Below are 21,470 nucleotides of genomic sequence, written 5' to 3'. Positions count from 1 at the left end.
TTTTTTGTGCAACCTGCATACGGCGGTTTAAAAGGAACCAAAACGTCCCTAATTCCTGTGTTCAGTATGTAAGGGGAGAAAGTTCTCCGTCGGCTCACATGGTTAGGCAGATTGCAGATTTGTCTCCCAGAAAAGGATGCTGCACATGTCACTGAATGATAAATAAAAACTATATTCATTAACATTTTAATAAAAGAGGAAATGAGCATGATAAAGACAGATGGGCTGTGTATTTCGCAGCCCATCTGCGTGGCAGGCCCATTACACCACCACACCCTTGAGTGGCTTTGGCTGGAGAGAGGCGTAATGAAATTCACAGCGAGCTTAGAATATCTTCCCACCCAGCTTTCCAGCAGGTGTGCAAGAGGGACTCTGCCAGCCAAATGCACTCTTGCCGGCAAGGCTTCCGAAGGTTCTGCTGGAGATCCTACACCCTTGCGTGGATTTTTTGCAGAGTTTAAACAGGCTTTTCAGCCCAGTCATTTTGTAGACTGATGCCCTGGAATGAACAAAGTCTTGGCAGTGACTTCCAGCATCCGCTGTCGGTTCCCATTCTGAATTGTGATGATGCCTGAACTGAATTTTCAAGTTACTAGCGAAGTAAAACCTGGGTGGGGGAAATTCTTCTGGAAATCGAGCTGTCTCGCTGACCTGAAGTGGCGCTAAGGTCCCTTTCACCCACATTAGAGATGGTCAGAAAGAGGTGGCACATGCTTTCCACCATAGTGTTGGGCTAGGCAGAGCCTGCAGACAGTACCAGCTGCGTGTCAGCATCCACACATAAAATCCCAGCCGCTTCTCCAAAAACCTGCAGCCCCAACCGCGGGGATTCGTAAGTCTGCGCCTGCGAGCTCATTGGAAATGCACTCCAGCTCCTTACCAATCACCAAGCAGTGGCCATAAATTGCTCCAAAATGAAAATGAGACTCTCAAAGGAAACTTCTGTTGCCTCACACAGAGGTGTCTATCACTAATTCAGAATCTGCTCACTGGATTCCTTAACACAAAGTTAAGCTGCTCTGAAGCATGAAGCCAGTTGGCGATGAAGATGGGATCTTTTTAATTATTTCAAATCAAGCTGCTTCCAAAAATGGCTTTCTGGGAACGCAGTCTTCGCCACCAGCTGGGCATTTCAGCGTTCTTGGCTTTTGATTTCCAGTGACATGGATAATGGGCAGCTGATGAGGATCCCCCTCTCTGTGTGTCTCCTTTAAAAACAAAATGTGCGCATTCCCAGTTACCTACAGAAGAACTCACAGCAACTTCCCTTTTTACTCTGGGAGCCTAAAACCCTTCCACTTGTATCATGCAGCTCATGGTGATCTGGTTTGCTAAGCAGTCTCCCTTACAGAAAACAGCCATTTGTCAATGCAGAAGACGAAAGGCCATTCCCAGTATCAGGGCAACCAGACTCGGTTGGTAGAAGGCAGGGCCCCTTCGTGCCAAGTCCAGCTTCCATGGAAATACCGTTCTCATTCTGAAGAGAACTGGTATGTAGAAGAAAGAAGCATGGAGACCACAGCTGACTACGAGCTCTCCCACTTAAGGGTGTTCAGTTTTGTTTGAACTTCCGTGAAAACAGTGGACAAAACAGAACCACAATGATATTGCATCTAATACCCACTAGGGTGGCTATTATGAAAAGAAAACACATACACACAAACAGAAAATAACAGGTGTTGGGAAGGATGTGAAGAAATTCCGCCCCATTTCGCGGTTGTTCTGAATATAAAATGGTATAGCCGCTACAGACAACAGTATGGTGGCTCTTCAAAAAATTAAGACAGAATTACCATAGAATCCAGCAATTCTGCTTCTCAGTATACACTCAAAGGAACAGAAAGGAGGGGTTCGAAGAGATATGTGCATACCTGGGTTCAAAGCAGCTTTATTCACAGTAGCCAAAAGGTAGAAGCAACCTGAGGGATATGATGAGGTTTCTCTTCAAAGAACCCAATCAATCTTTTATTCTTTAATTTATAGTACCCTTCCCCCTGCTGCCCTTTCCCTTTTTTTCCTTTTTGCCTTTGTTAGATGCCCAGGCATGCCACAGTACCAGGCATTATCAGTAGCAGCTCACATTCCTTCCTTTATTTGGAAAGAGGACTAACTTTCTAGTTCATTACAGAACACCCCTTCCCCTTTCCTCTTCGCTTTCTTTTACGTGCCCACCTTATCTAAAAAAAATCAAAGGTTCAGCCAACCGGGATTAGTTTAGATTGTATGACCCGACCCCGGCCAATGGGGAAAGGGTACAGGGGCAGGACTTGCGTCAGGAATAAAGGCTCTCGTGCCCCTTTGTTCAGGTGTGCTGTCATGGCGACTGGCCAAGGAGGCACCCCTCTGCGCAGAAGTAAAATTGCTTTGCTAAGAATCTTTTGTTCGTGTGTTCACTTTCCTTAGGATTTTGAGCGTTATTCCTAACAAACCCAACTGCCCACCGATGGATGAATGGGTAAACAAATACGATCTGTCCATACAATGTCTACTATTCAGCTTCTTAAAGGAAGGAAATTAGGACACATGGCGGAACATGGATGAACCTTGAGGACAGTATACTACATGAAATAAGTCACAAAAAGACAAATACTGTATGATTCCACTTGCATGAGACATCTAGAACAAATTCACAGAGACAGAAAGTAGGAGGAGCAGGGGAAAGGGCAACGGGGAGCGACTGTTTAGTGGTGCAGAAGTTTTGCAACATGAAAAGAGCTCTAGAGAAGGATGGTGGTGACGGTGGCAGAACAGTGTGAATGTGTTTAATGCCACTGAGCCGTGCACTTACAAATGGTGAACATGATGGATTTTTTATGTGTGTTTCACTACCATTAAAGATTAAAACAATGCCTGTAATCCCTGCACTTTTGGAGGCTGAGGCAGGTGGATCACGAGGTCAGGAGTTCAAGACCAGCCTGGCCAAGACGGTGAAACCCCGCCTCTACTAAAAATACAAAAAAATTAGCCGGGCGTGGTGGCAGGTGCCTGTAATCGCAGCTACTCAGGAGGCTGAGACAGAGAATTGCTGAAACCCGGGAGGCGGAGGTTGTAGGGAGTCGAGACCGCGCCACTGGACTCCAGCCTGGGCGACAGAGCAAGACTCTGTCTCAAAAAACAAATTAAAGGAAATAATGAAAAGATGGGGTGATAATATATAACCCCCAAGACTCCCCGAGTATGAAATCACATACATTGAAAGCATCTAGCTGTAAGCTTGGCCCAGGGTGCTGGACAGCTTGCTCTCCCTAGATCCAAGCTCCGCCCTCCCTATCCAGCTCTGTCCTCGGGACTCCTGCCCCGAGGCTTCCTGTAGATGAGGGGAGCAAATGTAAGGCTCTTTCTTCCTCACTGGGAGGCTGCCTGGGGCTACCTGGGTCCCCCTCTTTTCCAAGCAGCCACCCTACATAATCTCTCCTTCTGGGGTTCTGCAACTGCCTCGGGCTCTTGAACCTTAGAGTGAAACCCGCTCTGAGGCTACCAGCCCCCGGTAACAGTGGTTCCCCTCCACCCGCACCTCTGCAAACATTCCCCTTCTAAAACTTCCTCCTTGATTGCTCTCATTCAGGAACGCCATCTTTTCCCTCAGGAAGCTTGACTGATACTGGACTCAGTAAAGCTCTTCGTCCATCCCTTTCTTCCTTCAGACATCACAGTGTCTAGCAGTCAGCCATTCACCTGCTCCGTCAGGCACAGTGAACAAACATCGTTTCAGAAAGAGACAGTCAAGAGGACAACTGTTGAAACCAGGTGACTGAGGCGATTAATCAGACTGCGGGAGAGGCAGAGCAAGCCTGGAGACGCCGCTTTCCCGCCCTCGGCCCCATCCCGCCAGCCTGGCCCTGCCTGATCCTGGCTGTTTGTTCACTCCGAGTGTAAACAGCTCCTGAAAGTCCAGAACCCCAGCCTCAGGGTTCAGAGTCTGCTGCCTGGTTTGATTTGACAACAGGGCCTATTAATTACCTCTGCATCTCGGGGCCTGCCCAGTCCTGCTGCAGCTATAGGAATTCTTTCTTTATTCTTTTTCCTCTTTCACTAGAAAATAAAAGGTCTGGCTGGAAGAGAGATTAAAGTGAAAACTAATACAAATGAACTGATCCATCTCTGGGCACCCTGATTCATACAAAAAAAAATTGTTTTGGGAAGGATTTGCTCATTCTCAAGCTCTGGAATTGCAAGCTTGCTGAGAACTGTTAAAATTTAAATAGCAAGTCTGTTCCTGACAATCAATAAGCAACATCCCTTTAAAAGGGTCCGCCCCCAGCCGGTCCTCACAGAAGAGGGCCACAGGATGCTTGTCTTGGAGGCTGGGAGGTAGAAGAATCTTTTGATAAAGGAAACCATCCCATAAACGTTTAATACCTTTTTTCCTCCCCTTCAGGGACTCTCAGATCTAGAAGACTGAGGGATTTTACACTTCCCCAGCCAGGCTCCGTTCTACAGAGGGCATCACTACACTTTCGTTTTCTTAGTGGTAAGGCCGAGAATCACGAGGAATGAATCACAACCCCGCTTTAGCTGTTGGTTGAAAAAGCTGGTGGTTTCCAATCTTTGAAAATGTACTGGAAGCTTTTTCCAATAAAAAAGAGCATTATCAGTTTCTCAATTAAAGGTGTCTGAAGGAGGAACATGTTTTTTGAAAGAAGGTATTTTTTTCTTTTCTTTTTTGAGACAGGGTCCCGCTTTGTCATCCAGGCTGGAGTGCAGTGGCGCAATCTCGGCTCACTGCAACCTCCGCTCCTGGGTTCAAGCGATCCTCCTGCCTTAGTCATGTTCTTTTCCACCCCTACCTCCCACAATACATTCCATCCCCCAGGCTGGGACCACAGGTGTGTGCCACCGTGCCCGGCTAATTTTTGTATTTTTTGTAGAGACGGGATTTCGCCACGTGGCTCAGGCTTGTCTTGAACACCTGGACTCAAGCAATCTGTCTGCCTTGGCCTCCCAAAGTGTTGAGATTACAGGAGTGAACCACCAAGCCCAGCAGGGAGATTTTCCTTAATTGCCAAAAGCATCATCATATTATTAATACATAATATTTCTGTGGCAGTTTGCCGCCTGGAAGTGCTTTCGGGTCTGTAGCCACAGAAACCCGCTTGGGGAGGAGGTCTTACTGCGCCTCTTTTTCACTCCAGGAAACCAAGACTCAGGGAAGTTTAAATAACTTCTGCTGAATTTCACAGGTGGCGGCTACCTAGAGTGGCTCCATCTCAACATCACCAGAAGCGGGGCAGCTGGTGTCATGTGCCTCCTTGGGTGATGCAGCAGGAAGTACCTGCAATACCCAAGAAGTATTAACACACACACACACACACACACACACACACACACACACACACACTCACATAAGAAAAGAAACTACCCGGAAACGGAAGGCAGCTCAAATCCAGTCTCCAGGCAATAAAGAAGGTGCAGTAATCCCAGCACTTTGGGAGGCCGAGGCAGGTGGATCACGACGTCAAGAGATCAAGACCATCCTGGCCAACATGGTAAAACCCTGTCTCTACTAAAAATACAAAAAATTAGCCAGGCGTGGTGTCATGCACCTGTATTCCCAGCTACTTGGGAGGCTGAGGCAGGAGAATCGCTTGAACCCAGGAGATGGAGGTTGCAGTGAGCCAAGATGAAGCCACTGCACTACAGCCTGGTGACACAGCAAGACTCCGTCTCAAAAAAAAAAAAAAAAAAAAAAAAAGGTGCAGGAACCAATTAAACACCAGAATTACCAGAATCCTAATCTAGGACTTGGGGCCTTCTATAGGACAACTGTCATGGACTCTGCCCAAGCAGGAAGCGGGGAGGTAGAAGGGGGTTTTGTGGATGAAGACACAGTGAGACACAAAACAACCAGTACGATGGATGGACCATGTTTGGATCCTGATGCAAGTGTAAAAAGACCTTTCTTTTTAGACACTTAGGGAAAATTAAATATAGACTGAATAGCAGGTGATATTAATGACTACTATTAATTTTGTTAGGTGTAATCAACTTTTTGAACTGCTTACTGATCACTTAGGGATGAATTGACATAATTTCTGGAATTTCCTTTAAAACACTCTAGCAAAAGGAAAGTGAGGAACAGATGAAATAAATATGGTTAAAATGTTACTGGTTGTTGGAGCTATATTTTTGTGTGTATTTAGTACTTCTAATAATAAAAAGTTCTTAGAAAGTGTCTATTTTTGTCATAGCATTGCCAGCATGGAGCATTTTATAACTGTTGTAATTGTCTATTGGTGGGTGAAAAATGTAATTTGGTTGATGCTTTACTTTGCATTTTTATATGAATGAGAATGAGCATGCTTTCATTAAAATAAGGATAGTTCCCCCAGGTTACAGTTAAGTGGAAAAATTAGGTGCAAATTTATTATTTTTCTAATTTGAATTCTACTACTGTTTTTGCTACAACAGTCTGCATGTTGAATCTCCTGAAATATAAGTATTAGCTCACAATAATCATGGTGATCCATGAAAAGAGTTATCCACTGGCTGAGCTCCCTTGGGATCTATTTTATTCCCTGTTTGGTCCTCAGCAACTAGAAGAGTGCCTGACACACAGTAGGAGCTCAATAAGTGTTTGTGGAACAAAAGCACCCACTCTTGGAGCTACTGCTGATGGCTGTATGTGTCCACGTTCAACTTTCACAGTAACCTTGAGGGGGATAAAATGATCTTCATTTCCACATGAGAAATGGATGGAGTGAAGGCTCAGGGTCTCTCCACTCTCCATTAATGCTCCTTGTGCAAACTCCACATCTCATTGTTGCCTAGGATTTAAAGCTGCAAAGTTAAGGGCTTGGTCACAGAGATGAAGGAGAAGATGAGCTTGTCTTGGAGCAATGCCCGCGAGGGCCCCCAACATGGAGCTAAGTGGGGAGGCTTCACGCTAATCAGAGGCTCCCCTCCACCACAACAGACTGTCTCTCTAGACACTGAGTATAAGCAGGCTGCATTCCTTAGGGTGGCACTGCACACTCAAGACAGGTGCTGCTGAGAGTCTAGCCCTAGGCACAGATCAGGTTAAATTCCCCGTGTCTGGAAGGTCTAGCAAGCATCAGCAGTGATGAGTCACGTTGACAGGGTTCACCCTTGATGTGATGTGATGTGATGAGAATGGCGCTTTACCTCCCTGGTCTTCTTCCCAAAGCCCCATAATCCTGGTCTAGCTAAGAGAAGAACATCAGACAAATCCCGATTGAGTGACGTTCTACAAAACAGATCCTGGACGGGATCCTGCAACAGAGCGGGAAAGACGTCATCAGGGAGAGACTGCGGAGCTCGGAAGGGGGCAGTGACTGCAGTGAACAATAAGGTGTCACTGTGGGCTCAATGAATGGACAAAGGCACCATACTAGTGTCACAGGGGAAGCTGGGTGGCGGGTCCATCTTTGAAACAGTTCTGTAAGCTCCAAACTGCTCTAAAACACCAAGTTTAGTAAGAAAAAAGAAAGACCTACCATGAGTGGTTGGTCTGGAGCAGGCAGGGGAGGGGCAGGTTAGGAGGCCCTGCGTGGAACCTGCAGTGGAAGGTCATGTGTTTTGCATGAGAAGAGCAGATCTGTGTGTATGTGTCCACATGCGTGTGCCCAGGCACACAAGAGTGAGGGCTGTCAGAGAGCTGGGGTTAAAGCCACTGGGATTCCTCCTTGAGGCTAGAGCCTGGAGAATGAGCTGTCCCAGACATGGCTCATGCTGAACTCCTCAGTGTTGGGGGGCCTGATGCCCATGGGGTGGAGCAGTAGCAAAGGGCTAGGGCTCCATGAGCTGCAAACAGCACTGCCCAGTGCCCTCTGGGAAGGAAGCTCATGCCAACCCCAGAAGAAAGATGAACAGAGCGACCTGGAGCTCTTGGCTCCCATCACATCGGGCCCTCCCCGGGTCCCAGCAGAGGCTCTTTCAATTTTGTATTATTTTTCTTAACAAGAGCTCCGAAATTACACAACAAAACCTGGATCCACCCCTGAGAACCAGATATCCATCTCCCAACCAGATTTTTTTCCACCTTAAAGGGGTAAAAAATGGTAAATTTTATGTATATTTTGTGTGTATATGTATTTGTGTATATATATGTTTGTGTATGTACATTATTTATACCATAAAAAATGATAGAAGTTCACTTAAAATTTTTGGAAAATAAAGAGTATGGGAAGGAACTGAAATGAAACAGGCATAGGTCCATACTGCAGTTCTTGTTTTTTAAACCATTCTCATTGTTGTTCAATGCTTTGGGTAATTACTTTCACGTTTTTGGAGACTCCGACCTGTATCTTAGTGTTCAGCTCAGTGAGTTACTGAGATTAGTTTGGTGGAAGGAATGACATTTCCTCCTCTATATTAAAGCGCCCTTAAATTACTGTCGTCACATGAACAGAAATAACACAGTTTTGAAAGCCCAGACAACAAAGAATTTCAGCCTCCATGCAGTTAAACTGCTTGGGGTGAGGCTTCGGAACCCACTCCTGCTCTGAGCCACTCACCCCTCCGGCTGGAGCCCAGACTCAGAGACGGGCACAGCCAGGGCTACGAAAAAGCTTCTCTTGGTCTAGTCAGAGCTCATCTGGGCACTAAGAGAGAAGCATAGATAATAACTCGTTATGCAAAGGTTATATAAAGTGTTTTCTGCAGGATTCTAGTTAAAAACTCTGACAGTGACAAAAGGAACATAATTTTTAGTGGCACTGTAGAATTCCAAGCTTAAGCTGGTAAATACATTTGTAGAACAGACTGTACTCCTGCAGGGGACTGCGAGGGCCCCCAGATGAATGTGACTCTATTCAGGCATGAAACACATCTAAGACAAACACAATTTGAAAAGAACATTGTGAGAGAGACCTGTTCGTGGTGGCAACCCTGGAAGAGAAGACAGAGGCCACAGGAGTGACAGGGATAAACCACTGAGGACGCCTGAGAAAGAAAGAGGCTTAGGCCAGACAAAGACTTCATAGAACAGGGGGAAGAAAGAGTACGAAGTAGATGGATACTTTCTACCTAAAACAAAACACCACAGAGTGGACAGTATAAATACATTTTGATATCCTTCCCTTTGGGAAGACTTTCTCTGTTGTATATGTCTTTAGAGAAACCATAAAGGTCTACAAGCTCAGGATTAAAATGCACCAAGTTTTTGTCTTAAAAAGTTAAGAACTAAAGAGCTGAGACATTTAGAAATACATGAAACCCCCAGCTAATGGATGCAGCCCAAATGATCCCACAACAGGCTTTGAGGCCGTAGACTGCTTACATCCAGGGCACTGTGGCCTCCAGAGCCTCAGGTCAAGACACCAAAGGTGGCCCACCGAGGCCAGACTTTGACCTGGACCCAAGGGGAGACACATGCTCACCGGGAGATGTGGGCCTATGTGCTGGAGAAGCCATTCCCTCCAGAGAAGGGGCAGGAGGTTGGAAATGGTGACTGGATATATCCAGAAGCTTGGGGAACTCGATCTTGGGTGGGAGACCAATCCTAATGGTGGCAAACCCCTGCAACAGGCTGGAGATAGCTGGCAGGCAGTGGGTGGAGCAGGGGCCCCTCTCCAGATGGAAGCTGGCCTGACCTCCTGGAGCTCAAGCTATGGGAGCCACGCTGTATTCCGCACCGTGCGGTCACCACAGGCACTCCCACGCAGGAAGTTACACCATCCTGTGGGACAGCCTGGGCCAGAGGATTCCAGAAGGTGAGGACCAACCAAGGATGTGGGAGCCACCCTGGGCTCTCTGACCCCCATCTCGTCTTGGTGAGGGCAGGAAGCTAACAGGAAGTGAACGCAGAAGCAGACCTCAGCCCCCTCTGGGCCCCCAACACAGCCATGGTCCCCCCTTCATAAACACCTCTGACAGGTACTGTCTCCCTAGATGTGCATTTATTAAAATGCGGACAAATGCTATGCATGGGAGGCTTAAAAAGCAAAAGCCCAAAGAAAGACGAGCTAAAATATGAAATGCTCCCCGAAAAGTCCGAGGCCATTAGAAAACGCCTGTGTGAGGTGTGTTTCAAAGACAGTATTAAAATATTTGAAGCATGAAGAACAAAGTCTCTTCGCCATTTTGGCAAGCAAAACAGCACAACGCCCATCAGCTTTTAAGTCCATAATAGCAACAGGGGATGGAGATGTTGAACAGATTGTGCGGTGACAGCCAGGAGCAGCTTTCATGGAGAGCGGCGTGGAGACGGCTGACGGGTTCCCTACATGAAAAGGCACCTGTGGCAGGGGAAGAACCAACCCAGCCGTGCAGCTCAGAGATTCTCTTTGTGGAGGAAGAACCTCTCCTGCAAAGATGCTGGGGAGGGGCTCAGGAGAGGCACTGGGACTCAGAGAACGTGCTCCAAAAGCTAGTCTTGGCCCAGCAGCTGACAAAACCAAGCCGTGCTTCAGAAAGCAGAGGCGGAGAGGCACAAAAAAGCATCAGGCCGCTGGGGGCACCAGAACGTTCCATGCTGGAGGAAGGACAAGCTGCCTGGAGGATATTGCAACCTGAACCCCAGAACATCATCTCAGCCTCAGCATGCTCTAGTCAAGCTCACAGATGCTCTTCCCAGACCGGTTTCCTCAGCAGGCCTCCTACTTCCACGTCCAGGCCTGGGGCTCTAGGCCATCTTGGGCCCCCTCCTTCCCAGGGAAACCCCATCAGCAATTCGGGAATGACCACCTTCCTGCTCCAGGCCCTCAGCCTCCTGCTTTCCTTCACTCTCTGAGCCTCACAGACAGCTCCCTGTAGGCCACTGCCAGGTTAATCTTGCTAAAAACTTGCTTTCACACCACCTTGCCTAGCTCCCAGCTTTGTGCAGCTCTTTGTTGTACAAGACTCGGGTCTGGCATCATTTGGTCCCTCTCTGTCCCTCGCAGGCATCCCTTTTCAGCCAGGAATGATGCACCCGAGGCTGCTAGCAGTGCTCCCTCATGGTGGGGGGAGATAAGAACTCTCCCTTTATACATCATCTACTATTTCTCCAGCTTCAATGAGCATGTATTACTTTGTACTTAAAAATACATTATTAGTTAGAAAATGGTTTTTTATAAAGCAGTCCATTTCAGCCTCCAGCCTCCAGCTTCTCCTGCTCAAAGATCCTTCTGCTCTTACGAATTCACTCACTGGGAAATTTCCTGAACTCCCATTTTGCTGCCCTGCATCCAAGCCTCGGAGTCCTTGGCCACCAGCCTCCCCCGCCCCGAGGCACCAGGGCATCCGAATACTGACCGTTTGAACATTCTGCTCAGGGTCCACCTCCAAGGGCCTCCATGCCCACACCTGCCCACAGGGAACCCCCCTTCCCTGACGGTCTTGATCCTCAGATCCACTTTCCTGGCAAGCGATCACATACTACCCGACGCCCCCTCGTATATTCTTGGATTTGTGATTTAATTTTGTGAGTGTTCTTTGCCTCGAAAATGGACCTCACGCTCTTCCTGGTATCTCCTGGTGTCTAATGCTCTCAGGAGGGAGTGGATGCGCAATTTGCAGACTTGCGTGAACTGACTGTGCTCTGTACCCAAGGGAATGGGGAGAAAGAAACTAAAGGAGAGAAAGAAGGTCGATGGCTCATTTCACATGAGCCTGCCCTTAAAGTATGGTGACATGATACATGTGTGTGTGCGTGTGTGTGTGTGTGTTTGGGGAGAGATATCTCCTATTTTTAAAGAGAGCTTAAGGATATTCTAAAGTGAAAATCTGCATAAAATTGGGTGATACAATGACATACATACAAACAAAAACAAAATCAAACTCATAAAGGAGAAGAATGCAAAGAGATGGAGATGTTCTAAGCAGTTGGAATGACTGAGGTACTTCAGTTAGACACTCAGGTTAGCTTTGGGCTTCCTGGTAGCCAAGGCATAAAGGGACACATGGATGGCACACTTGCAAAAGGAAGCTCCCACATTCACCCAGAGAAGCCAGCACTCCCTAGGCAGTGGAGACGCCGACTGCACGGAACTCCACGTGGAAGACAGCGAGCGATGCGGAAGATACGGAGGTGTTGTTCCTCCCGCACATTGTTAGAAAACATGAAGATATGGGATTAACTCCTAATTCATAGAAAACAGGGCTTCTTTCTGAGTTAAGGAAAAGTACATTATTTCAGGTTTGAGGCTGGGGAACCTAGAGTCATAGATGAAGACCACGTCCCTCAGAGCATCAGCTCTGAAACCTGTCCAGGGGGCAGGGCCTTGGGAATGCATGAATTCCCAAAAGCTGAAGCGTATTGATCTTCTGAATTCTCTCACATAAACGTAGGGGTATTTCTAAATGTAATATTTTGTTATTTTAAGAATAATTTGCTTAGAAATAAAACATTTTCCTACATAATTTTAAAAAATCCTAAGAAGTGGGAATGGAAGGAATGTATTACATGATAAACAAAACTGCTCATTCAAGTCAGTATCATGTTCCTTTTGATGACAGCAGCCAGCTGCTCTAGACAGCCTGCCGCTGCCATCATGCCAGCTGTTGCAGGGAGGTGCTGCCGGGGCCGCTTGCTCCAAGGAGCCCATAGGAGCCGGGGACAAGTGGAAGCTCTGCCCCTTACGAGTTGGGGCGGGAGCTCCCGGGGTGCCGCTGCAGATGCCCAAACCGTGGCTGCAGACCTGGGCCTCCCATTCCATGGAGCAGGCAGGAGCCCTGCCCAAGTCGTGGCTGCAGATCCTAGCCTCCTTGTGCTCTTGGCGGGCTGGGAGCAGGCAGGATCCCTGCCCTCTTGGGCACAGCTGCAGCTGCCAAAACCCGCGGCTGCAGACTCAGGCATTCTTGCACTCTTGGGGACCCAGGAAGACCCCCTGCCCTCGCAGGCTTGGAAGTGCCTGCTCTCACTGCTTGGCTGCTCCCTGCTGTTGGCACCCACTCTGATCTGGGGGCAAAGTCAGGGCGAGCATGAGTGCCATGAATGGCAGCAGGAGGCAGACAGACTCCTGGGCAGAAGAAGGTGGGTCTCCGGTGAGGCCCCACCTTCAGGCCAGTGAGGGCCTGGAGGCTGGGGGCAGGGCTGCCAGTCCCCCTGGCTGGAGTGGGAACTTGTGGTGCCTTTTCCAGGCCCACTCATGGTCACCCATTGACCAATCCGCATGCACTTCCTCCCCTCTGAAGGCCATAAAAACCCTGGGCTCAGCCAGAGCTGAGCAGATGACAGGAGGACCAGCTGTAAAGAGGAGCTACCCTCTGCTGAGAGCTGCAGACATTGAACAACCTCTCCAAGGCCTTCTCTCTGCTGAGAGCTGCAGATGCTGGGACGACCAGCCGCAGAGAGAAGCTACTATCCTCTCCAGGGCCTTCTCTCTGCTGACAGCTGAACACTTGTCGGGATGAGCTGCCAGCAGAGGTGTATATAACACACCTAAATTCCACTCCAGGCCTCCTCTCTGCTGAGAGCTGCAGAGACGATGGGACGACTTGCCTACAGAGAGCAGCCACCCACTGCGGGGCTCCTCTGGGCTGTCCGGACACTCAATAAAGCTCCTCTTCATCTTCCTCACCCTCCATTTGTCTGTGAACCTTATTCTTCCTGGATACAAGACGAGAACTCGGACAAAACCGCCACCAGCCACAGAGGTTTCTGGCTGGAAAAGCGACACTCCAAAGATCCCGTAACAATTTCCAATAAGTTCAAAAACAAGAAAACCTAATCTATGGTGACAGAAGTCAGAAGAAGGGGTTAGACTGACTAGAAAGGGCCAGGAAGAACTTTCTGGAGTATTGTAAATGACTTGTATTTTGTTTGAGGTGTGGGCTATATGGCTGTATATATTTGTCAAAACTCCCTTAAGCTCCCTGCATTTTGTTACATACAAATTATATCTCAATAAAAAACAATCTATATTACACATAACAGTAAAATCCTAGTAGACATTCCACTGAGATCAGGAAAAACACAAGAGACATTACTATGCCAATTATTTAAAATTATTCCAACCAACACAGCAAGATAGGAAAAACAAAAAGAAAACAATACATTTGTATTATTTGGAAAAGATATGATCGTCTACCTTGAAAGCAAAGAAGAGCAATGGAAAAGTCGTTAGAATAATAAAAGAATATGGAATATGGCTGAATGGAAAATAAATATCTAAACATCAGTGGTTTTCCTATGTTCCTACAATAACTAATTAGAAGACGAAATGGGGAAAAATTGCTATTTACAGTAGCAATGAGTCAAAATCTCAGGACAACCTTGACAAAAAAGTATACAGCCTATGGGTATAAACTTGCAAACCTCACTAAACAGCTGAATAAATAGGGATGCATATTATTTTCTGGACGGAAAACCAGAATTACTAAGAAGTCACTTCTCATAAAACAATTTATAGGTTTAACATGATTAAAAATGCAATGAGACTACTTTTGAAACAAAATAATTTCAGTTTTTTCTGGAAGAATAAATGATGACAAGTAATAACAAAATTCTGAAAAGTTGAAGAGAGTTGTTTTATCAGTTATTAAAACACCTTTTGGAAGTAAAGCAATTAAAATACTATAAAACTGGCAGAAAAAGAGATAATGAATCAATGGAACTAAATAATCCACAAGCAGACTTTTGTATAAACAGGTCCTCTGAATATAAAAAGAGGGAGACACCATAAATAAATAGATTATTTAATAAATCATGTTGGGAAAATGGATCATTTGAAAGAAAGGAAAAGTAGTGTGCCAGAGTATATAACACACCTAAATTCCAGAAAAATTAGAGAGTTAAATATATTAAAAATTAAACCTTTATAAACAAGGCAAAAACCTATAAGAATACTCATTTTAGGCTTGAGAGTGTTGAAATATCCAAACACAAAAGTAATGAAGTGACAAAGGAAAACATCAATAGATTTAACTACGTAAAAGTCAAACACTTCTGTATGTCAGAAAGTAATATACAAACATTAATGGTAAAAGCAAACTGAAAAAATCCTTGTTACAAATGACAGAAAAAAAAAAAATCCCTAAGGCCTTGGATAGATAAATGGGGCAAAGAAAATGAACAGATCATAGCAGAGAAAGTGCTCAAAGCCAACCGACTTGGCAGAATGGGTTCAAGAATACTAGCAGTCGAAACACAAACTAAAACAACCCTCAGAAGACCCGAAACTCAGAACCCTCAACCTCCTGAATGAAGACACAGGAGGGTATCTTCGTGTAGTTGGAGTAGAAAGATTATTCAAATGATTGCCTTCTAGATAGTTGCATTAGTGTTGCTGTCTTGCCTTTGCTGGTGCCCTAAAGGCTGTTTGCCCATTGGTTGATTCAGCACTGCTGAGGCAACTCAGGAGGGAGGTGTTGGGGTCAGCGCCCCCAGGGGAGGGGATGGGGACAACGCAAGTAGAGGAAGAGATAAGGACAGCGCCCCCAAGGGAGGGGATGGGGACAGCGCTCCCAGGGGAGGGGGTGGGTGTGGCACCCCTAGGGGAGGAGATGGGGTAGCACCTTGAGACCAGAGGCAATGCCTAAAAGGAGATGCTGAGTAAGAGCTGATCAGGCAAAGGCAGAGGGGGACAGGATCAGGGCGAGAATTCCCAGATTCGGTGAGCAAAGGTGCAGTGGCACTGAATATCTGGTGTGCCCAGGGAATCCGGAGGAATGCCTTGTTGCTGAAGTAAGGAAAGCAGAATGGTGAGTGGCTGGAGATAAATCGGAGAGGCAGGGGGTGGTCAGATAGTAAACAGTGCTGCTACCATGCTAAGAAGCCTAGAATCCCCTCTTCAGGGAACGAGAACCTCTATACGGAAGAAGTAGGGCTGGCAACCTAGGGAGGACATGGGCCATGTCTACAGTACCAGGCTTCCTGAAGCCTTCCTGCCCAGCCCCAGCGGTGGGTTCTCTGCAGATCCTCTGGAAGGCTTCAGGCAGGGGAAACCACTCAGTGAGGTTCCTGTACTACTGAGCTCGCTCTGGTGGCTCAAGGGAGGATGGATTTGAGGATCCCAGATCCATGGATCACAGTGATGGGCAACAGCCAGTTAGGGTCAGTGGTGGCAGGAACAAAGAAGGGCAGGGCAGTGGATTTGATAAAAATGCATGAGGTAAACCCTATAAAATTTATTGATTGATTTGTTGGAGAGAATTAATGGTGAAGGAGTCAAGAATTACATTATGTTTTTCTCTTTTTTTTTTTTTTTTTGAGATGAAGTCTCATTCTGTCTCCCAGGCTGGAGTGCCTTGGTGCGATCGCGGCTCACTGCAGCCTTGAACTCCTGGGTTCAAGTGATCCTCCCACCTTAGCCTCCTGAGTAGCTGGGATTATAGGCATGAGCCACCACACCTGGCTAATTTTTTAATTTTTTGTAGATATGGGGTCTTGCTATGTTGCCCAGGCTGGTCTCAAACTCCTGGCCTCAAGTGATCCTCCTGACTCGGCCTCCCAAAGTACTGAGAACACAGGTGTGAGCCACTGCGCCCAGCCTGGACATTATCTCTAACTTGGAAGAGGAACAACTTTGGGGTCAGATGATGAGTTCTATTTTAGAGTTGGAGTCTGATAAGCCCTGGGACATGGAGGTGTAGATGTGTGGAAGACATTTGGTTACAAGAATCTGAGGCTTAGCAGAGAGGTCTAGGTTAGAAATACACATGAGGGACTTATGGTGTGTGGGTCAAAGGTGAACCATGGACTAACATGAGATCCCTAGAAAAGCATGTGTGATAAGAAGACCAGTGTGTGAGTGAGACAAAGCAGGGAATGCCAACATTTTAGGGGCAGGAGGGGAAATAGAGCCTTCAATGAGTCAGAGAAAATGGATAGAGAGGAGAAAATAAGAAGGAAGAATGAAGAGAAAGACTTAAGCCAAGTCCTGGGAACAAGGAGGTCTGTGTGGGGAGAGTGATCAAGAGCATTGCTTGCAGAGAAGCTGAGGGGATGTGGACTCAGTGGAGCTCACTGGCTCTGTCCTTTACAACAACGACAATATGGCCTCAGGAGAGAAGAGTAGATAGAATGCGTGAGAAGTGAGGAGGTGCAGGTAATTAGCAGAGCTCAGTCCTTTGAGGCAGAAGAAGCCAGGAGAGAGGGAGAGCTTTGAAGACAGAACACAGAGAGGAAATAAAGAGGGAGCCAAGTCCTGGAGGAAGGGCTGGAGGAGGGACCAAGGGCTTGGGTGCAGGGCTGGCTTTCAACATATGTGGGACTGTAGTGATCGTTTTTATTCTTTGTGCTTTAAGGGATTTCTAAATTTTTATTAATCAGCATGCATAACTAGAATAATAAAAAGTACAAATGTATTTTACATTTTAATTAAATTTAAATATTACAAGGTATAATAGGGAATCACAATTACGAACACTCATCCTATTAAAAAACTAACCGTAGGACTGAGTAGAATGAAGGATTCTGAATGTTTAATATGTTTGTTACCTGCAAGCATTTACCACAAGACATACAACAGCAGGTGTTAAGGTTGAAAAAAAAATCATAAGAAAAAGACTTAATTTTTCTTGATAACTGGTAGAAGGCCACCATTCTTCTGTTTCAGCCATGGGACGCCTTTGTCCAGCCCAAGGAAAACACGCAGAGGCTCAGTTTGAGAACTAGGATGGCCTCTCCCAAATATCAAGGTTGCCGTGGAAACTGGTGGCAACTGTTGCATTAAACGAAAATCTCCATTTCTAACACTGTGCAATGCCGACTCACTCATGTGAAAGAATAAATTTTTAAGAAGGTAAAATAACGGCTCTAATGCAACGATAGAATCAACATGTATCAAAGATTTTAGTTGTCATTAATTTATGAGGGAACCAGTAAGACGTTTCAACTGTATCAAAAGAGAAAGTGAACAGCCCACAACATATTGATAGTGCAAAAATGAATTTATAAATAGATGCAAAACGGGTCAGTATCTGCAGAGCAATAGCCATATTTATATTCTACAGGATAAAATTTGCATTTATTTGCATTTCTTTGGAAAAGAAATTTGCATTACTCAAAGTGCACTACTATAAGATTTCTACAATTTACAGAGATAAGTAGCCCAAAGACGATGGAAAGCGCGGGTCCCTATCGAATCAGATAACCCTGAAGGGCGCTAGATGAGACACTCAGTAATCCTTTTTATGGCACACTGCAAAGTCTTTCACAATTCTTACCTGACAGTCTCCCTCCACAGGATCATAATAATCTCAAAGAAAGATCATTTTTGATCATAATCGATAAGCATTTTAGAGAGTGGGCCAAATGCTTTCATTATTCAACAGAATTCTCAGCCTGGTCACAGGGTCCCCACTGTCAAGCCATCAAGAATCCCTGCACTCTCTCAATGCAGGGATCCCCCAGGCTTCCCTCATCCGCCACCTGGCCTGACCCTCTGCCCTCCTCAATCCACCAGGTGGGTGCCTTGACCCAGGCCTAGGACACTACTGCCCCTCTCTGAGTCCCAGGCTTACTAAACAGGCACCTGGGACAGGAGAACCATCAAACTTCTCAGAGAGGCAAACCCTGGCATGCCTGCAGAGGGCCACGTGTATCTCCCATCCAGAGATGCACCTTGAGTCCCGTACATGGGTGCAGGCTCAGTTCAAGCCCCAGGCTCTGCTCCACAGAGCTCGGAAGAGGCCCTTCTGCAGTGGCAGGAATGTCGTCAGGGCAGAGGCTATCAAGTGCCTGCCTCGGCCACTAAACCATGTGGGTTTGGCCCCTGCAGGATCCCCGGCTTCCAGGAGAATGGCATCCCAGTCAGCCTGCCAGGAGGAGCTGGCTGTGGAGTGTCTCCCAAGTAGCCGGAGGGACAGACCTAGTAGATGGCGCTATTTAGTGCTGACCACTTGCACACGCTGAGTGGAGGCCAAGTGCAATTTCCATTTTAGTGCACTTGCTGCTAAGCTGTTCTTTCTGGCTCTAATTAGCCAGCATGTTCAGCTGCTTCTTAAGGGCATTTGTTGCTAATAAAAATAAAAACCAGACCACTGGCCCAGATGATGGTGGTACTCTTCCTATTTGCCACAGCAGGAAGACACGGACCAACCAGCTGGTAGCAGCACAGGCTGCTTCAGCCAAGGTCACGGGCTTCCTTCACACAGTGGAAATCAGAACAGGCAGGAGGCAACCATGGTACCCACTCTAGATTCTGCATGCCACAATACCCACACTCCAGGCTCTGAAGGAAAGACAGCTGGGAACGTCGGCCAGCTTCAGGAGAGCCAGAGGCTAATATGGGTGACTGACGTTCTCTGTCCCCTTCTGAGTGAAATTAAGCAGCTGGACACCTACAGAGCCATCTTGTGTGTGCCAGGCACTGTGCTGGTGTCACAGCACAGAGGACCAACACAGGGACCCCACCTGCCCTGAAGGGGTTCCCAGTCTTGCCAGGAGATGGACACAAGCCAGGAGTTACGTCGCAGGTGCGCAAAGGGAAGCATGTAGAACAGCAAGGGAGCCCTGAGGAGGGAAAAGCCATTTCTGCCTGGGCGTAATGGGACTTGCAGAAGTGATATTTGATCCAAGCCACCAAGAAGGAGGAAGAACTTTCCCAGGTAACACCAATACACGCCGCCAGCAACGCCCCAGCCCCATCTCACGGGCAGTTGTTTCCCACTGAGCCTGGGGGCCTGGCACTGAGGGGTCCTTGCTGATGCTGTCCCTCGTCGCCCGTCTGGCCCAGGTCTCATGTCACATCTTCTTTGAAGACTTTCTCTGACTTGCCTTCTATACAGTCACATCACTATGTACGTACCTAGCCGGGAACGTGCGACGTGGAGGCTGCATCGATGCCTCTGACTGTCTCCTTGCTGTTCGCAGTGGACACTGATCACGTCAGCTCTGCACCCAGCACCCAGCAGAGTGCAGAGCAGATGCCCAGCTGGCTTCACCGCTGTAACAGGTAGGTGGCTGGCTGGATAGTTACACACGAAACCTGCTTCTCATGGAGGCAAGCTAACTGGCTGGAGGAGCCAGTCATGCCATCAGCTGAGAAGAGCGCTGGCCAGGCATCTCAAAGCCATGCCTTCTTTCATGGAAACGGGGGAAGGTAGAATGCCTCTGTTTTGGAAGACGGTCCATGACTGTAATTTTCAGTGCATCACAAGAGGACTCCACTGGAGAGATGAATTTCACCTCATTTGCTGAGTACGTACTAAGTGCAGGGAATGAGGAGCACGAAGACAAAGGAGACACAGTCCTGAAGCCCGAGGCGACAGCGCCTGATGGGGGCTGTCCTTAGGGTGGATGCGAACCAGAATTCAGATGACACGAGCTCTCCCCTGTCCCATTCTCTCCGTCCAGATCACTGTCAAGTCCTGTTTTACGTACAGGCAGCATGGCCACGCCATCCTCAGGAAACTCTTCTGTACTCTCAGAAGTTATCTGAATCAGTAACACCCTGGCCTTCCCCGTTCGGTCAGAGCCGTTGAATGGAAGCTAAGATGGCCGTCTGCACACACGCTGGTTTCTATCCTGCCCCATCTCTGGGAGGAAAGAGGCCCGAGTGGGAGTTGCAGAGGCCCCCCGCAGGGGAAGAAGGGCCTGGACTCCGGCCTCAGAGATGCCCCTGCAAGGGGGAGAAGGGCCTGGACTCTGGCCTCACTCCGAGGTGGTGCCCAGGACTGGAAGGTGTAACCTTAGAAGCCTAAGACCCGGAATAACATACTGCCTCTGGGCCTTCCCTCGGTGAACTGGTTTGCGTGGTGCAGAACTCAAATAATGGTTCTTCAGATTCACAGAGTGGCTTCCTCCACGTCCACACAGACCAACGCCCAAGTGTGGCCTCTCCCTGAAGCCCCGCTGTAGTGCAGGACAGCACACTCTGCTTCCGAAGGCTCCTCTGCGGATGCCTGACACTCGTCATGAGCACCGGCTCTGGAGTCAGACAGCACAGGGATCCCATCTTCCCCTCCCATCGCCATGTGACCCTGGGCAGTTGACAGTGACTTACAGCCTCTGCACATCCATTCCCGTAGCTATGAAATGGGGATTAAACTGTGTGGCTGTGGTGTGAACATGCAGTATTATCAGAAGGGAACCCCCAGGGAAGGGCGAGGGTGTAGAAAGGTAATTAGGAGAAATAAAGTGAGTTATCTCAATAATTGCTGGGGGCGTGTACAGGCTGACATCAGCTGGGAAGAGCCACGGCAGAACTCAGGCTGAATCTGCCCAGAAAAGTGAGCAGCACCAGGGACCCACGGGGAGCTGGGTTTCAGGGGAGGGTACCCGAGAGTGCACCACTCCTAGGTGTCCTGAAAACAGGGACCCGTTTAGAACACCAGTATCATCCAGAGACAACCACAGGCCGAATAAAGTGGATCGTGTTAACAGCCAGGATACCTGCATCTGGCTCTGCCTGGGGGAGGCTCAGGGAAGGAGACCCTCATCTGGAATAAATGATGGGTGATGTGGGTCACCTGTGTCCCCACCCAAATCTCATCTTGAACTCCCATGAGTTGTGGGAGGGACCCGGTGGGAGGTAACTGGATCATGGGGGCAGGTCTCTCCTGTGCTGTTCCCCTGACAGCAAGTCTCACGAGGTCTGAGGGTTAGTACAAGGGGAGTTTTCCTGCACAAGCTGTCTTCTCTTGTC

General features: G+C 47.6%; 1 protein-coding gene across 5 annotated transcripts in view; it reads right to left on the bottom strand.

Annotated features, from left to right (window-relative positions):
* SDK1 (sidekick cell adhesion molecule 1) overlaps window positions 1-21,470 on the bottom strand; it is a 967,749-nt gene that overhangs the window by 258,269 nt on the left and 688,010 nt on the right. The gene's annotated exons all lie outside the window — the stretch shown is intronic.

The sequence above is a fragment of the Homo sapiens genome, chromosome 7, assembly GCF_000001405.40.
Source record: "Homo sapiens chromosome 7, GRCh38.p14 Primary Assembly".
Classification (NCBI taxonomy): domain Eukaryota; kingdom Metazoa; phylum Chordata; class Mammalia; order Primates; family Hominidae; genus Homo; species Homo sapiens.
The sequence above is the reverse complement of the archived record's forward strand: the minus strand, read 5'-3'. Positions and strand labels throughout refer to the sequence as shown.